Source organism: Homo sapiens, chromosome 7, assembly GCF_000001405.40.
Source record: "Homo sapiens chromosome 7, GRCh38.p14 Primary Assembly".
NCBI classification, from domain to species: domain Eukaryota; kingdom Metazoa; phylum Chordata; class Mammalia; order Primates; family Hominidae; genus Homo; species Homo sapiens.
The window spans coordinates 102,549,317-102,565,502 of NC_000007.14; the positions used below are offsets into that span (position 1 = coordinate 102,549,317).

The window sequence follows — 16,186 nt, forward strand, 5'->3', positions numbered from 1 at the left end:
TTCATTTCTTGGATCAATCTGTCTGTTCAGGTGTCAGTACTAGACTATTTTAATCCCTGTATGTATGTATGCATGTATGTATGTATGTATTTATTTTGAGACGGAGTTTTGCTCTTGTTGCCCAGGCTAGAGTGCAATGGTGCGGTCTCGGCTCACTGCAACCTCCACCTCCTGGGTTCAAGCGATTCATTCTCCTGCCTCAGCCTCCCAAGTAGCTAGGATTACAGGTGCCCACCACCACGCCTGGTTAATTTTTGTGTTTTTAGTAGAGATGGGGTTTCACCATTTTGGCCAGGCTGGTTGAGAACTCCTGACCTCAAGTCATCCGCCCGTCTCTGCCTCCCAAAGTGCTGGGATTACAGGCGTGAGCCACTGCACCCAGCCAATCGCTGTATTTTTATAATCTGCTTTGTTCTGTAAATGATCCCTCTCGAGTGTAACTCACTAGTGGGCTGTGTCCTTCTTTGGTGAATGTCTCTTTTTCCCATTAAACTGTAACTCTCTGAGGGCGGGGACTGGATCTGTTTATCTGTTTAGTTCTCCCACTGAATCCTCACTGTTAACCTAGGGGTCTGGCACAATAATTGTGCAGCCTCGAACTCCTAGGCTCAAGTCATCCTCCTACCTCAGCTTCCTTAGTACCTGGGATTACAGGCACATGTCACCATGCCCATCTAATTTTTAAATTTTTTACTTTTTCTTTTCTTTTTTTTTTGAGATGGAGTCTAGCTTTGCTGTCCAGGCTGGACTGCAATGGCATGATCCTAGCTCACTACAACCACCGCCTCCTGGGTTCAAGCGATTCTCCTGCCTCAGCCTCCCAAGTAGCTAGGATTACAGGTGCCCACCACCATGCCCGGCTAATTTTTGTATTTTTAGTAGAGATGGGGTTTCACCATGTTGGCCAGGCTGGTCTCAAACTCCTGACCTCAAATGATCCATCCCCCTCGGCCTCCCAAAGTGCTGGGATTACAGGCATGAGCCACTGCGCCCAGCCAAGTTTTAAATTTTTTCTGGAGATGGGGTGCTCGCTATGTTGCCCAGGCTGGTCTCAAACTCTAGGCCTCAAGTCCTCCTGCCCCGACCTCCCAAAGTGCTGAGATTACAGGCATGAGCCACTGTGCTCAGCCCCAACAATTATTTTTGACAGATAATAGGGATGTCTCCTTGCTCTCTGTGTCTGGCCAAGTAGCCCCAGGTGACACTCTTTTTTTTTTGTTTGTTTTTGAGATGGAGTCGTGCTCTGTTGCCCAGCCTGGAGTCCAATGCCGTGGTCTCGGCTCACTGCAATCTCCGCCTCCTGGGTTTAAGTGATTCTCCTGCCTCAGCCTCCAGAGGAGCTGGGACTACAGGTATGTGCCACCACACCTGGCTAATGTTCTTATTTTTAGTAGAGACGGGATTTCGCCATGTTGGCCAGGCTGGTCTCGAACTCCAGACCTCATGATCCACCCGCCTTGGCCTCCTAAAGTGCTGGGATTACAGGTGTGAACCACCATGCCCGGCCGTGACACTCGTTTTATAGCATCAGGCTGGTGACCAGAATGTCATGGCTTCTGGGCAGAGGCCAGCTTCCATGCCGTGTCCTGTCTTCCTAGTGCAGATGTCCCCAGCTGCAGTGAGTACCAGTGTGAGGGAATGGGCTCCAGACTCCCAGAGGGGCCACAGGGATGGCCACGCCAAGCTCTGGGGAGTAGCCGATTCCCCAGCACCTGCCTGCCCATGCACCTTTGGGGTGACTCATGAGACAGGGTGGGGCTCCCACCTCCCCTCTCCCAAAAGGCAATCAGCTATAAAGGCTCTCAGAGGCCCACCCAGCCCCAGGTCATCAAACAAGCCCCAGTTCCATGGCAACCATTATACCCATTCATCAAGGAGATGAAGAAGGAGGTGCTTCCTGGTTCACCCCACCCTCAGCAGAGACAGACCCCAGATCTGGGCCCAGGACTTTGTGCAGGGAGGGGAAATGCAGGTGACTCAGCCCCTATTCCTCCATCAAACCAGCCTTGAAGATGGGTTAAATCAGAGCTTTTCATTCCACAAAAGAGAAATTTTAATGGGGTCAGAACATTGATCTTCTAATATTTGAAAGCCTGTTAACTAGGAGAGAGAGAGCAAACTATTTTGTTGTAGGAGGACCCACCCAGCTCTGACGGTTTAAAGCGTCATGAATGCGAATTTGAACTCCAGAAAAGCAGAGCTTCCTAACAATGGGACTTCCACAGCAATGGGATCTGCTTCCTCTTTCAGTTTGTGCCTTTTCTATGAGCGAGAGACTCCTAGGAAAGCAGCAGCCCATTAGGAAAACGTGTGGGAACTCACTCGCAGGTTCTTTATTTTTTTTGAGATGGAGTTTTGCTCTTGTTGCCCAGGCTGGAGCACAATGGTGCCATCTTGGCTCCCTGCAACCTGCGCACCATGAGTTCAAGTGATTCTCCAGCGCCCTCTCCTGAGTAGCTGCGATTACAGGCATCCACCACCATGCCTGGCTAATTTTTTGTATTTTTAGTAGAGATGGGGTTTCACCATGTTGTCCAGGCTGGTCTCAAACTCCTGACCTCAAGTGATCCACCCACTTTGGCCTCCCAAAGTGCTGGGATTACAGGCATGAGCCACTGAGCCCAGCCGGGAACCCACAGGTTTTTTGGATGGTCTCTGAATGTCATGTAACTCTTTTATTTTTTATCAAAAAAAATTTTTTTGACACAGTATCTTGCTGTGTTGCCCAGACTGGAGTGCAGTGGCAAGATCACGGCTCACTGCAGCTTCTAACTCCTGGGCTCAAGTGATCTTCCTGTCACATGAGTCTCCCAAGTAGTTGGAACACAGGTGCCAGCCACCACACCTGGCTAATTTGGTTTGGTTTTGTTTTTTTAGAGATGGGCTCTTGCTATGTTGCCTATACTGGTCTCGAACTGCTGGCCTCAGGCAATCTTCCTCCCTTGGCCACCCAAAGTGCTGGGATTACAAGCATGAGCCACTGTGCACAGCTGAAATTTTTTGACTTAGTCTTTTTGTACATGTGATATTTTATTCATAGAATCCATAAATGGAAGGGAAATTTCTGAGTTCAGAGCAATACATATGATACAAAACTTGATATATAGACTAGAGTTTCTTAGCCGAACTGGAGGGGCTGGCTTAGGTAATCCATGGATTCCCTGAAACTGGGGACACCATTGGAAATATGTGTGAGCTCAGGGGCAGTTTCCTATGATTTTTAGGCCTCAAAATGTCTCTTGGACTCAAAATTGCCTTAGGGCAGAGGACGTGTGTACCCCCAGTATAGAATCTCGGACAGTGAATGTGAGTAAACATTCGGCAGAAAAGCTCTGCCAAACTGAGTGCTCTGATGTGACTTTTTCATCAAGTCAGTATTCCTGGGATCTCTTGTACGTGATAATCTCACTCTTGTACATGATAATCTCACTCTTGTACATGATACTCTCACTCTTATAAGGTTTCATCGTTTCTGCTTACCCTAGTTTTCTTTCCCACTCTGTTCCCTCTCCCACCAGACTGGACTCTGAAATGGGCATGTACAGAGACGAAGAGACCCCAACATGCTTCAGGCTTTGAGTGGAGAGGACACAGCCTCTGCTGGGACAGGGAATAGAGGGATGTGGAGTCCCTGAAGATGCTTTTGGACAATGGTCTGAGGTTGGGACAGTGGCAGGAGATACCATTCACCCAGGATCTCCAGGACAAGAGATCAGCCTGGCAGTTACATGTGTTTTTTTTCAAACTGGTTGCCAGGTTGGCATGAACGATGACATCAGAGATTCCGACCTTCCTGATTGGAGGGACCGGACTCCGTGGTGCCTGGAGATCAGTTGGACAACAGTATCTTCTCAGAGCTGTTCTCTACTCCTGACTTCTCCTAGGCTTGAGAATTGATAACATACTCTTCTGGATCCTAGAAGTGTCCAGAAGAAGGCCATGGACAGAACGGAGACTAGGTTCCGTAAGAGGGGACAGATTACGGGAAAGATCACGACCAGCCGTCAACCGCACCCCCAGAATGAGCAGAGTCCCCAGCGGAGCACCTCGGGGTACCCCCTCCAGGAGGTGGTGGATGATGAAATGTTGGGACCATCAGGTGAGGGGACTGGTGGAAGAAGAGGTGGGATAGGATTGACTAAGACGAAGGAAGGGGGCCGGGTGCGGTGGCTCACGCCTGTAACCCCAGCACTTTGGGAGGCCGAGGCGGGCGGATCACCTGAGGTCAGGAGATCAAGGCCAGCCTGGCCAATATGGTGAAACCCCATCTCTACTAAAAGTATAAAAATTAGCCAAGTTGTAGTGGTGCACACCTGTAATCCCAGCTACTCAGGAGGCTGAAACAGGAGAATCACTTGAGACTGGGAGGAAGAGGTTGCAGTGAGCTGAGAGCACGCTACTGCACTCCAAAAAAAGAAAAAAAAGAAAAGAAGGGTCAGTGGTCAGGAAGGAGAACCTGAGGAGGGTGTGTGGGAAGAATGGAGAAATTCAGGCTGGGTGCAGTGGCTCACACCTGTAAGCCCAGAACTTTGGGAGGCCAAGGCAGGCGGATCACTTGAGGCCAGGAGTTTGAGACCAGCCTGGCCAACATGGTGAAACCCTGTCTCTACTAAAAGTACAAAATTGAGCTGGGCATTATGGCAGGCACCTGTAATCCCAGCTACCTGAGAGGCTGAGGCAGAAGAATAAATGGAATCCAGGAGATGGATGTTGCAGTGAGCTGAGATTGCACCACTACACTCCAGCCTGGGTGACAAAGCAAGATTCTGTGTCAAAACAAAACAAAACAAAAAAGGAGGGACTCAGAGAGCCAGGGACCAGGGAAGGACATGAAGCAGTGTTCGGAGGACAGAGAGAGAGAAGAATGGGGAGGGGAAGGAGCGGCACATGGGGTTGAGCAGAGGAGAAAATCAGAAAGATGGCTTAGAGAAGCCAGCAGTCTGCAAGTCTGGGGAGGATGGAGAGTGGTTTGGGGTTTGGGGTCGGGGTCTAAGGTGATCAGATGCAGAAGCATTACACGGTGGCCTGGTTTCTTTACTCAGCCCCTGGGGTAGATCCCAGCCCCCCATGTAGGTCCCTTGGCTGGAAAAGGAAGAGGGAGTGGTCAGATGAATCTGAGGAGGAGCCGGAGAAGGAGCTCGCCCCTGAGCCTGAGGAGACCTGGGTAGTGGAGATGCTGTGTGGGCTCAAGATGAAGCTGAAGCAACAGCGAGTGTCACCCATCCTCCCTGAGCACCACAAGGACTTCAACAGTCAGCTTGGTAGGAGGATACCCCAGAGAGCACCTCCAATCCTGTTCTTTCTAAAAAGAGGAAACTTCCAATAACCACACTTTTCCAATGGGAAAGATACGCCCCCAGTGGCTGAGCTCTCCACGCAGGAGGACTCAGAAGTGATCACTCATGAGGGACACTTAGGAGACGATAGAAGACTAGGCTAGACTTGATAAAGGTTGGCGCTTGGGATGAGAAAGCTTGGTTTCGGGCCAGGTGCAGTGGCTCATGCCTGAGATGCTAGCACGTTGGGAGGCTGAGGCAAGAGGATTGCTTGAACTCAGGACTTTGAGGCTGCAGTGAGCTATGACTGCACCACTGCACTCCAGCCTGGGTGACAGAGCAAAACCCTGTGTCAAAAGAAAAACGAAGGCCAGGTGTGGTAGCTCATGCCTGTAATCCCATTACTTTGGGAGGCTGAGATGGGTGGATCACTTGAGGTCAGTTGTTCGAGACCAACCAGACCAATATAGCGAAACCTCATTTATACTAACAATACAAAAATTAGCCAGGCATGCCTGTTATCCCAGCTACTCAGGAGGCTGAGACAGGATAATCGCTTGAACCCAGGTGGAAGAGGTTGCTTTGAGCCAAGATAGCGCCACTGCATTCCATTCTGGGTGAGAGAGTGAGACGCTGTCTCAAAAAAAAAAAAAAAAAAAAAAAAAAAAGAAGGAAGGAAGGGCCCAGAAGTCAGGAAGGAGCACATGAGGAGGGTGTGTGGGAAGAATGGAGGTACTGAGGCAGGGTGCAGTGGCTCACACCTGTAATCCCAGCACTTTGGGAGGCCAGGCAGGCAGATCACTTGAGGCCAGGAGTTGGAGACCAGCCTGGCCAACATGGTGAAACCCTGTCTCTTCTAGAAGCACAAAAATGAGCTGGGCGTTCTGGTGGGCACCTGTAATCCCAGCTACTTGGGAGGCTTAGGCAGGAGAATCACTGGAACCCGGGAGGCAGAGGTTGCAGTGAGCCAAGATCGCACCACTACACTCCAGCCTAGGCCACAAAGCAAGACTGTTTCTCAACAACAACAACAACAACAACAAAAAAAAAAAAAAAAAGGGACTCAGAGAGCCAGGGACCAGGGAAGGATATGAGGAAGTGTTCTGAGGACAGAAAAACGGGAGAATGGGGAGGAGAAGGAGCGGCACATGCAGCTCAGCAGAGGAGACAGACAGAAGGAAAGATGGCTTGGAGAAGCCAGCAGTCTGCGAGGCTGGGGAGGATGGAGAGTGGTTTGGGGTTTTGGGTCGGGCTCTAGTGTGATCAACTGCAGAAGCATTACACCGTGGCCTGGTTTCTTTACTCAGCCCCTGGGGTAGATCCCAGCCCCCCGCATAGGTCCTTTTGCTGGAAAAGGAAGATGGAGTGGTGGGACGAATCTGAGGAGTCGTTGGAGGAGGAGCCACGGAAGGTGCTCGCCCCTGAGCCTGAGGAGATCTGGGTGGCGGAGATGCTGTGTGGCCTCAAGATGAAGCTGAAGCGACGGCGAGTGTCGCTCGTGCTCCCTGAGCACCACGAGGCCTTCAACAGGCTGCTTGGTAGGAGGACACCCCAGAGAGCACCTCCAATCCTGTTCTTTCCAAAAACAGGAAACTTCCAATAACCACACTTTTCCAATGGGAAAAATAGGCCCCAGTGGGTGAGCTCTCCATGTGGGAGGAATGTGAAGTGATCACTCATGAGGGACACTTAGGAGATGATAAAGGATTAGGTCAACTTGATAAAGGTCAGCGCTTGGGATAAGAAAGCTTGGTTTCGGGCCAGGCGCAGTGGCTCCCGCCTGAGATCCCAGCACGTTGGGAGGCTGAGGCAAGAGGATTGCTTGAACTCAGGACTTTGAGGCTGCAGTGAGCTATGACTACACCACTGCACTCCAGCCTGGGTGACAGAGCAAAACCCTGTCTCAAAAGAAAAACCAAGGCTGGGCACAGTAGCTCATGCATGTAATCCCAGCTACTCGGGAGGCTGAGACAGGAGAATCGCTTAAACCCGGGAGGCAGAGGTTGCAGTGAGCCAAGATCAGGCCACTGCATTCCAGCCTGGCCCACAGAGCAAGACTCTGTCTCAAAATAAATTAATAAATAAATAAAAATAAAAATCCAATAAAGAAAAACAAAATCAATAAACAAAGAAAGTGGTTTCAGCTGTGCCCTCTGAAACTTAATGTCTCTTACTGACTTTTCTAAACCTAAGTGTCTCCATCCATAGTGGGGGATACCAAGGCCATGGTCACACCCTGATGTGACTGTCTCATGAGGAAATGATGGGAATTCCTTTATGACTCTGCAGTGGTCCCTCCGTGTCTGCTGGAGGGGGTCCTGGCTGATTCCCAGCTCTACATCCTGTAGATTCTCACACCCAGGGCCTCCTTCGGCCTCTTCTCAGGGGAGTCTCAGAGCGGGAGCCTCTCTCCCTTGCCCAGTGAAAGTCATTCTCCCCTCTCCCATCCACCTCACCCGCGGCCACAATCCTGAGACTTCCCCCCGGGAGGCACACTTCTCCTCCCTGCCCTGCTGCTCCCACGGAAACCCTGTCCTGCTTCTCACACTGACATCTGCTCTCTAATCACAGAGGATCCTGTCATTAAAAGATTCTTGGCCTGGGACAAAGATCTGAGGGTGTCGGACAAGGTAAGGTTGTTCTCCATGTAACTGTTCCTGTTCCAACGCATGGCTGGGGGGAGGGCGCAGCTTCCAAACCCACAGTTCTCCCTCCACCACCTCCCACCAGATGCTCCTACAGTCTTTTTTTTTTTTTTTTGTGTGTGTGTGTGTGTGTGTGTGTGTGTGAGACAGAGTCTTGCTCTGTTGCCCAGGCTGGAGGGCAGTGTCTCGATCTTGACTCACTGCAGCCGATGCGTCCTGGGTTCAAGCGATTCTCCTGCCTCAGCCTCCAAGCAGCTGGGATTACAGACATGAACCACCACGCCTGGCTAATTTTTGTGTTTTTAGTAGAAACGGGGTTTTGCCATGTTGGCCAGGTTGGTCCTGAACACCTGACCTCAGGCGATCCACCCGCCTTGGCCTCCCAAAGTGCTGAGATTATAGACGTCAGCCACTGTGCCCGACCAGCTCCCATGGTCTTGAGTCTTGGCACCCACAAATTTTTTTTTTGTGAGACAGAGTCTAGCTCTGCTCCCCAGGATGGAGTGCAGTGGCATGATCATAGCTCATTGCAGCCTCTAATTCCTGGGCTCAAGCAATCTTCTTTCCTCAGCCTCCTGAGGAGCTGGGACTAGGCACATGCCACCATGCTCAACTAATTTTTGAAATGTTTGTAGAAACAGGGTCTCACTATGTTGCCCAGGTTGTTCTCGAACTGTTGGGCTCACATGATCCTCCTGTCTCCACCTCTCAAAAAGTACTGGGATCACAGGCTTGAGCCGCCACTCCCGGCTATTCTTGGTCTTTTTATGATTTGTCAGCATCTCCCTCAGGATTCTGCTGGTCTCTTGCAGAGTGAATGAGTGGCCCCTGCCTCTCCTATGGGTCCTTTGGGATCTGAGCTCTGGGCCACAGTCTGGCCGCAGCCCCGAAGATCCTGGCCCCTCTACTCTCAGCTCTTCGGGACAGTTCTCTGCCTGGCACACAAAAGACCCTCCTGACACCAGCCGACCTAGACACACCCCCTCCAAAGATCCCATCGGAGCCCACCATCCTGGGAGCATCACCCAAAACCCTTCCTCTGGCTTCTCGGATTTGCATCCGACCTTCGAATACCCCTCCATCCCGCAATTTCCAAATGAGTAGTCACCCCAACACTGAGGTCCCTTCTCTGATGGGCAGCCCCTCCCCAGACCCTCATTCCCCCTCTCCACAATCTTCCTCTTCCAAGATGTGACCTCTCCCTCTCTGTGTTCCTTTCTCTCCATCAGTATCTCCTGGCTATGGTCATAGCGTATTTCAGCCGGGCCGGCTTCCCCTCCTGGCAATACCAACGCATTCATTTCTTCCTGGCTCTGTGAGTGGTTTGCTGCCTCCTATCCGTCAATATCCAATGCCCTGGGACAGCGGGGGAAGTGGGATTCCAGCCTTTCATTTATTCTTTCACCTATTTGTCCTCTTTACTCTGTGTACAAAAAAGAGAGGATTATACTATCATAGACTGTTGTTTCTAAACAGAAACTCAGGCTGGGCACAGTGGAATACGCCTGTAATCCCAGCACTTTGGGAGGCCGAGGCAGGCGGATCACCTGAGGTCAGCAGTTCGAGACCAGCCTGGCCAACATGGCCAAATCCCGTCTCTACTAAAAATAGAAAAATTAGCTGGGCGTGGTGGTGTGCATCTGTAATCCCAGCTACTCGGGAGGCTGAGGCAAGAGAACCCTTTGAACCCAGGAGGTGGAGGTTGCAGTAAGCTAAGGTCGAGCCACTGTACTCCAGCCTGGGTGACAGAGTGAGACTTTTTCTCAAAAAAAAAAAAAAAAAAAAAAAAAAAGCCAAAAAAACAAACTCCAATGCCAGTGTACAAATAAAAGAATAAAACAAAAGGAACCATAAACCGCTCCTAAGGGGAAAAGAAAAGGAGTGGAGGAGCGGACATGCCGCTTCCTCCAGCAAGCAGACGTTTCTGGTTCTTCTCTCTCTCTCCTTCCCACATCAACCACAAACGCCATCGACCTCCTCTGGGTTCCCATGACAGAGGCCACAGTTCAGGTCCCCCTCGCATCACTCGAATTTACTGTCAAATGCTCCCCGCTGGGGTCTCCTGGAGTCTCTCCCCAAGCCAGGGGGCTTCCTAGTGCAGCCTGAACATCTTTCCAAAGCACGACAACCTCACTGCCCACCTGAACAACTTCCTTAGCTGATGCCTTTCTCTATCGAGGCCAGGGTCCACAGTGTCAATTCTACCCTCTCTACAATCTCTACAAGCACACTGGCTCGCCATCTTGGTATTTCCTGGCTCGGCTTCACTGCTCCTTCCAAATGCCCTCCACTCGACTTTGTGTTTGTGTTTTCTGTCTGGGTGTCCCGCACACATGTGGCTCTGAAGGGAAGGACCCATTCCTTGAAATCAGTTCACCCCACAGCCTCTGTGATGCCTTCCCTCATCTTCCAACTTCTGCATGCCCGTAGCTCTCTAGTTACATCCTGGACACTGGGATTAGGTCATCTGCCTTGATTACTCCCAGTCCCATTAGACTAGATGCCTGTAGAAGGCAGGGTCCTGGCAAAATATCAATGTATTCAATTTCTTTTATTTTTTTGAGACAGACTTGCCCTGTCCCCCAAGCTGGAGTGCAGTGGTGAGATCATAGCTCACCGCAGCCTCCATATCCTGGGCTCAAGCGATCCTCCCACCTCAGCTTCATTAGCTCCGACTACAGGGCTGTGCCACCACACCTGGACAGTTTGTTTGTTTGTTTGTTTATTGAGACAGAGTCTTGTTCTGCCTCTCAGGCTGGAATGGAGTGGCCCAATCTCAACTCACTGCAACCTCCGCCTCCTGGGTTCACACAATTCTTATGCTTCAGCCTCCTGAGTAGCTAGGCCTAACAGGTGTGCCACCGCACCAGGCTCATTTTTGTATTTTTAGTAGAGATGGGGTTTCTCCGTGTTGACCAGGCTGGTCTCCAACTCCTGGTCTCAAGCGATCCACCTGCTTCAGCCTTCTAAAGTGCTGGGATTACAGGCATGAGCCACCGCGTCTGGCATATTTCTTACATTTTTAATAGAGACGAGGGTCTTGCTATGTTGCCCAGGCCCGTCTCAAACTCCTGGCCTCAAGTGATCCTCCTGCTTTGGCCTCCCAGTGTGCTGGGATTCCAGGCGTAAGCCACCACTCTCGGCCACCAGTTGGGTTTTTGTCTCCATCCTGAAGGAGTGGGAGACGCCCTTGATCAGGTCTCTGTCCAGCAGAGCCCTCCTGAGGAAGGCATGGCTCTCTGCAGGGTGGGTGCCAGTCCTGAGCTAGGGACGGTCCCTTACCTTCCTCTCTGGGAAGCTGACCTCAGCCGGAGGCCTCTCCTGGTGGTGCCCCTGAGCAGCAACCTGATTTCTGTCCTCAGCTACCTGGCCAATGACATGGAGGAGGACGACGAGGACTCCAAACAAAACATCTTCCACTTCCTGTATAGGAAGAACCGCTCTCGCATACCCTTGCTCCGTAAGCCTTGGTTCCAGTTAGGCCATTCCATGAACCCGAGGGCCAGGAAGAACCGCTCTCGCATACCCTTGCTCCGTAAGCGTCGGTTCCAGTTATACCGTTCCACGAACCCGAGGGCCAGGAAGAACCGCTCTCGCATACCCTTGCTCCGTAAGCGTCGGTTCCAGTTATACCGTTCCATGAACTCGAGGGCCAGGAAGAACCGCTCTCAGATAGTCCTGTTCCAGAAACGACGGTTCCACTTCTTCTGTTCCATGAGCTGCAGGGCTTGGGTTTCCCCAGAGGAGTTGGAGGAGGTGAGTGGGGCCTGGGGAGGTGGAGGAGGTGGGGAGGAATTGGGTGGGCTGGAGGCTGGATGAGGGGAGAGAGGGGTATCCTGGCGAGTCCCCGTCTTCTCAAAGGGCGTTTGTTTTTCCAGATCCAGGCTTATGACCCAGAGCACTGGGTGTGGGCGCGAGATCGCGCTCACCTTTCCTAGAGCTCCAGGGACCGGGGAGGCCTGAGGTCATCGGCCTGAGAGAAGGTACATCTGCATCCTCTGGGGTAAAGGCAGAATATTGGGGTCTATTTCGGAAATCCGAAGAACCCAATTGCTTGATCTGGCTTCAAGCCTGGGCAACGTGGCGAGATCCCCTCTCCACAAAAATACAAAAACTAGCCAGGCGATGTGGGACGCATCTCTACTCCCAACTACTCAGGAGGCTGAGGCGGGAGGATCGCTGGAGCCTGGAAGGTCGGGGCCGCACGGAGCCCTGATCCTGCCACTGCACTCCAGTCTGGGCGACAGAGTGAGACCCTGCCTCAAAAATAATCATAAAAACTGAGTTTGGGGAGGTTCATTATGATTGACGCACTTGAGTTACTGATTTGGGTCGAGGGTTCAGTGAAGCTTTGGTTTACATCTTGTGCAGCTAACCACGTTGAGCACAGAGCATGAGACTTCATCATGAGGAGGTAGGATTAAGGATTAGGCTTCTGGACTCGTGGTTCGTGATGTTGTCACATTAGAAACACATCTAGCATGGTTACAAGTTTAGATCTTAAGTGACACAAAAGGCCCCAGCTGTGATAAAGTCCAAAGCCACATTCTCTGAGGGTGCCCTACTCCCTGGGCAGACCCACCCAAAGTCCTTGCTATGAAGCAGATCACTGGGGCTGACCTTGGGTGTATTAAGTGAGTTTTGGAGTCGTGGTCACCAAAGTGTGAGTTTCACAGTTGAACACGATGGTTCAGAAGCAGGGTATAGAATGAAAGGCAGCAGATAAAATTGCATTTCTCAATTGACATGGGACGTGAATAACTTTCCTGTCTAGAGAGCTGCCTCCTTGAAGTGTGACATTGTCTCTCTCGCTTCCAGAACACCGGACCCAGGGGAGATGTGGATTTTCAGCGGGAACTTTATTCCAATGCTAATGGCAGACACCAGGCAGGAGGAGAGGAACCATTTGTGCAGATCATCTAGAAGAACCTGGACCATTCTTGATGGAGCTGAATACAGTGATCACGTTGTCCTCCTAGGAGCAGGGGTGGGGGGAGGGGGGTGGGGTCCTTCTAGGAGTCCTTGGAGAAAAGTAAGAAACCAGGAGCGTTTCCAGTTCCACCCTTTCCTGCGGCACCACCACCCTTTTTATATTGCTGAATTCCAACCTCCCTGGGGCGGAACCTGGAGGTCCTGTTTCTTACGGACTTGCAGTCCAGGAGGATTTGAAGGCACAATGCAGGGGCTCAGATTGGGACAGAATTCTTTTGTGAAATATCAGTGCCACAGATTGTAACAGATAGCTTCATGCACACTCTGCATTTTATTGGTTTGTATGGAAAATGTCGGCCATTGAATTATTCATAGATTTATTTCAAATAGTTTGGAAATTGTTGTACTTTTGAAAACATGCTGTTCCTGTAGTTTTTTGATGAGAGTTATAGTTGTTATATATACATAAAGCTAATTTTCTTTTCATTTTTAAGAGACAATTCTTTTTATCCTAAATATTTTATTATCTTTAAATTTGTTTCTGTATTATTACATGTGCTCCTGAAGCGAGCACTCTTTTTATCTATGATACTTCCATAATAATCTCTTCTATTTATAGCTATTGGTAGTTCCCCACCAGAAAAAAACATAATTCTGGTGATAGAAATTTTTATTTGCTGTTTAGGTTTGTGACTGAATTGTGAGAATTCAGTTGTGATTTTTAACATGCCTCAGATATATATACTAACACGTCTAATATATACTATCTATTTTATTGGTTTATTTTGAAAAACATGGGTATAGAATTATTTAAATATTATTTTATTTATTTAAATATTTATTAAATATATTTATTTATTTAAATATTATTATTACTTTAAATATTATTTTAAATATTTTGGAAATACTGGTATTTTTGAATAGATGCTGTTTCTATAAAGCTGTGTGATGGATATTATAACTGTTATATACACATACATATAATTTTGTTTTCCTTTTTAAGAGAGGATTCTTTTCATCCTAAATCTTTTACCTTTCAATCTTTGTATCTATTATTACACGTGCTGCTGAAGGGAGCATGGTTTTTATCTATGATACTTAGTTAACATATATATTACATTTATAGCTATGTAGTAGTTCCCCTAAATTCTTGTAAAAATAAATTTTTATTTGATATTTCATATATATTTGAAATGTGAGAATTCAGATGTAATTTTTTACCTTGTTTTGGCATGTTTGTATGTTACTTTAAAGAGGATGTGTGTTCTAAAGGAGGACATGAGCTGTGTGTTTTCAAGAGAACAATAGAGTGCGTCTCTTGGGGAAACATAATAAAAATGAACTTTTCTCACCTTCACAGCAATTGTGATCATATTGGTCTGGATTGATTATTTGCTGCCCAGTGATATTTTTCCTTAATGGGGTTGTGGTTATTTGAACATATTTATTAGCTCTGGAAGATAATCCTGTGCTGTTTTTTATGTAGAAAAAAACATAAGGCTGGGTGCAGTGCTCACACCTACAATCCCTGTGGTTTTGGAGGTCATGGCGGGAGGATCACCTGAGGCCAGGAGTTTGAGGCCAGCCTCAGCAACATAGCATCTACATCTATTTTTAATTTTTATTTTTTAAAGAAAAACAATAGAAGAGAAGGCTGATCCCAAGCTACAGGGTTTTTTTGTTTGTTTGTTTGTTTTGGAGACAGAGTCTTGCTCTGTCTCCCAGGCTGGAGTGCAGTGGCACAACCTCGGCTCCCTGCAACTTTCACCTCTGGGTTCAAACAAATTCTCCTGCCTCAGCCTCCCAAGTAGCTGGGACTACAGGCACCCGTCTGTACGTCCGACTAACTTTTGTAAAAATAGTAGAGACAAGGTTTCACCATGTTGGCCAGGCTGGTCTCGAACTCCTGACTTCAAGTGATCCACCTACCTCGGCCTCCCAAAGTGCTGGGATTACAGGCATGAGCTACTGCGCCCAGATGCCAAGCTAGAGTTTTAAGGCAGGAAATGAGAGAAAGATATTGAGAGAGGAAAACCAGGTGGTAAGAAAACTCTAAAGGTGGCCGGGCGTGGTGGCTCACGCCCATGATCCCAGCAGGAGTTTGAGACCAGCCTGGCCAACATGGTGAAACCCTGTCTCTACTAAAAATACAAAAATTAGGCAGGCGTGGTGGTGCACGCCTATAATCCCAGCTATTTGGGAGGCTGAGGCAGGAGAATCACTAGCAGAGATTGTGTCTCCTCACCCCCTCTCAAAAAAAAAAAAAAAAAAAAAGTTCGTTCCTGCAGCAGTTAAAGCTGTGAAAGACAGGCACTCTGACATGCAATTCCTTGTGATTTTTCTTTTTCCTTTTTGGAGTTGGGGTCTTGCGCTGTCACCCAGACTGGGGTGCAGTGGTGTGGTCATAGCTCACTGCGGCCTCAGACTCAAGCTCAAGCGATCCTCTTACCTTGCCTTTCAAATTGCTGGGATTATAAGCATGAGCCACTGCATCTGGCCTGTGTGACACAATTTTTTTTTTGTCTTTTTTCTTTTTGGGGGGGATGGAGTCTCGCTCTGTCACCCAGGCTGGAGTGCGGTGGCGTGATCTTGGCTCAATGCAAGCTCTGCCTCCTGGGTTCACGCCATTCTCCTGCCTCAGCCTCCCGAGTAGCTGGGACTACAGGCGCCCGCCACCATGCCTGGCTAATTTTTTGAATTTTTAGTAGAGACGGGATTTCACTGTCTTAGCCAGGATGGTCTCGATCTCCTGACCTCGTGATCTGCCCGCCTTGGCCTCCCAAAGTGCTAGGATTACAGGCGTGAGCCACCGCGCCCAGCCTATGTGATGCAATTCTGATGTCAACTCCCTGATGTTACCTCAAATGCCACAGGTTAAGGCCACCAGTCCCCACTAGGCTGCCCTCGCTTTAGACACACCTGCAGGCTTGGGTGTCCTCAGACCACATGTACTTCTCACCAACTGGCTGCAAATTTGGAGGTTCCCACCATGCCCTCAAGTTCGATAACTCACTAAAACAATTCACAGAATGCAGAAAAGCATGATACTTTCTTTCTCTTTTTTTTTTTTGAGACGGAGTCTTGCTCTGTCACCCAGGCTGGAGTACAGTGACCACCATGCTTGGCTAATTTTTGTATTTGTATTAGAGACGGGGTTTCGCCATGTTGGTCAGGCTGGTCTTGAACTCCTGACCTCAGGTGATCCACCCGCCTTGGCATCCCAAAATGCTGGGATTATAGGCATAGCCACCATGCCCGGTTGACTTCTAGAGTTTCAATAACAGAGATGTGATTCAAGAAGGGAGACATGTTTTGTAGATGGCAGGAGCTTCA

At 49.2% G+C, this 16,186-nt stretch overlaps 1 protein-coding gene and 1 long non-coding RNA gene across 5 annotated transcripts in view; one reads left to right on the forward strand and one right to left on the reverse strand.

The window, feature by feature from the left end:
* The window catches only part of POLR2J3-UPK3BL2 (POLR2J3-UPK3BL2 readthrough), a 34,665-nt gene that overhangs the window by 11,398 nt on the left and 7,081 nt on the right, over positions 1 to 16,186 (reverse strand). The gene's annotated exons all lie outside the window — the stretch shown is intronic.
* SPDYE2 (speedy/RINGO cell cycle regulator family member E2) lies at positions 1,910 to 15,911 on the forward strand. 4 transcript variants are annotated; one of them, NM_001396242.1, is made up of 9 exons: positions 1,910 to 1,972; positions 3,519 to 4,099; positions 5,043 to 5,261; positions 6,584 to 6,814; positions 7,848 to 7,906; positions 9,151 to 9,236; positions 11,284 to 11,677; positions 11,800 to 11,904; positions 12,740 to 14,222. In NM_001396242.1, the coding sequence occupies exons 2-8, from the start codon at positions 3,940 to 3,942 to the stop codon at positions 11,857 to 11,859; spliced, it is 1,209 nt and encodes a 402-aa protein (NP_001383171.1). In that variant the 5' UTR covers positions 1,910 to 1,972; positions 3,519 to 3,939; the 3' UTR covers positions 11,860 to 11,904; positions 12,740 to 14,222. The 4 variants fall into 4 exon arrangements, with proteins under 4 accessions (NP_001383171.1, XP_011514539.1, XP_047276361.1 ...); NM_001031618.3 differs by having other exon boundaries at positions 1,916 to 1,968; positions 12,740 to 12,994; XM_011516237.4 differs by having other exon boundaries at positions 11,284 to 15,911.

What these genes read in the sequence shown, in the direction of transcription:
- SPDYE2 (XM_011516237.4), top strand. Translation starts at nt 3,940, where the DNA reads ATGGACAGAACGGAGACTAGGTTCCGTAAGAGGGGACAGATTACGGGA. An exon ending in TGAAATGTTGGGACCATCAG is followed by an intron (nt 4,100 to 5,042) that starts GTGAGGGGACTG and finishes TTCTTTACTCAG; the next exon opens with CCCCTGGGGTAGATCCCAGC. An exon ending in ATCTGAGGGTGTCGGACAAG is followed by an intron (nt 7,907 to 9,150) that starts GTAAGGTTGTTC and finishes TCTCTCCATCAG; the next exon opens with TATCTCCTGGCTATGGTCAT.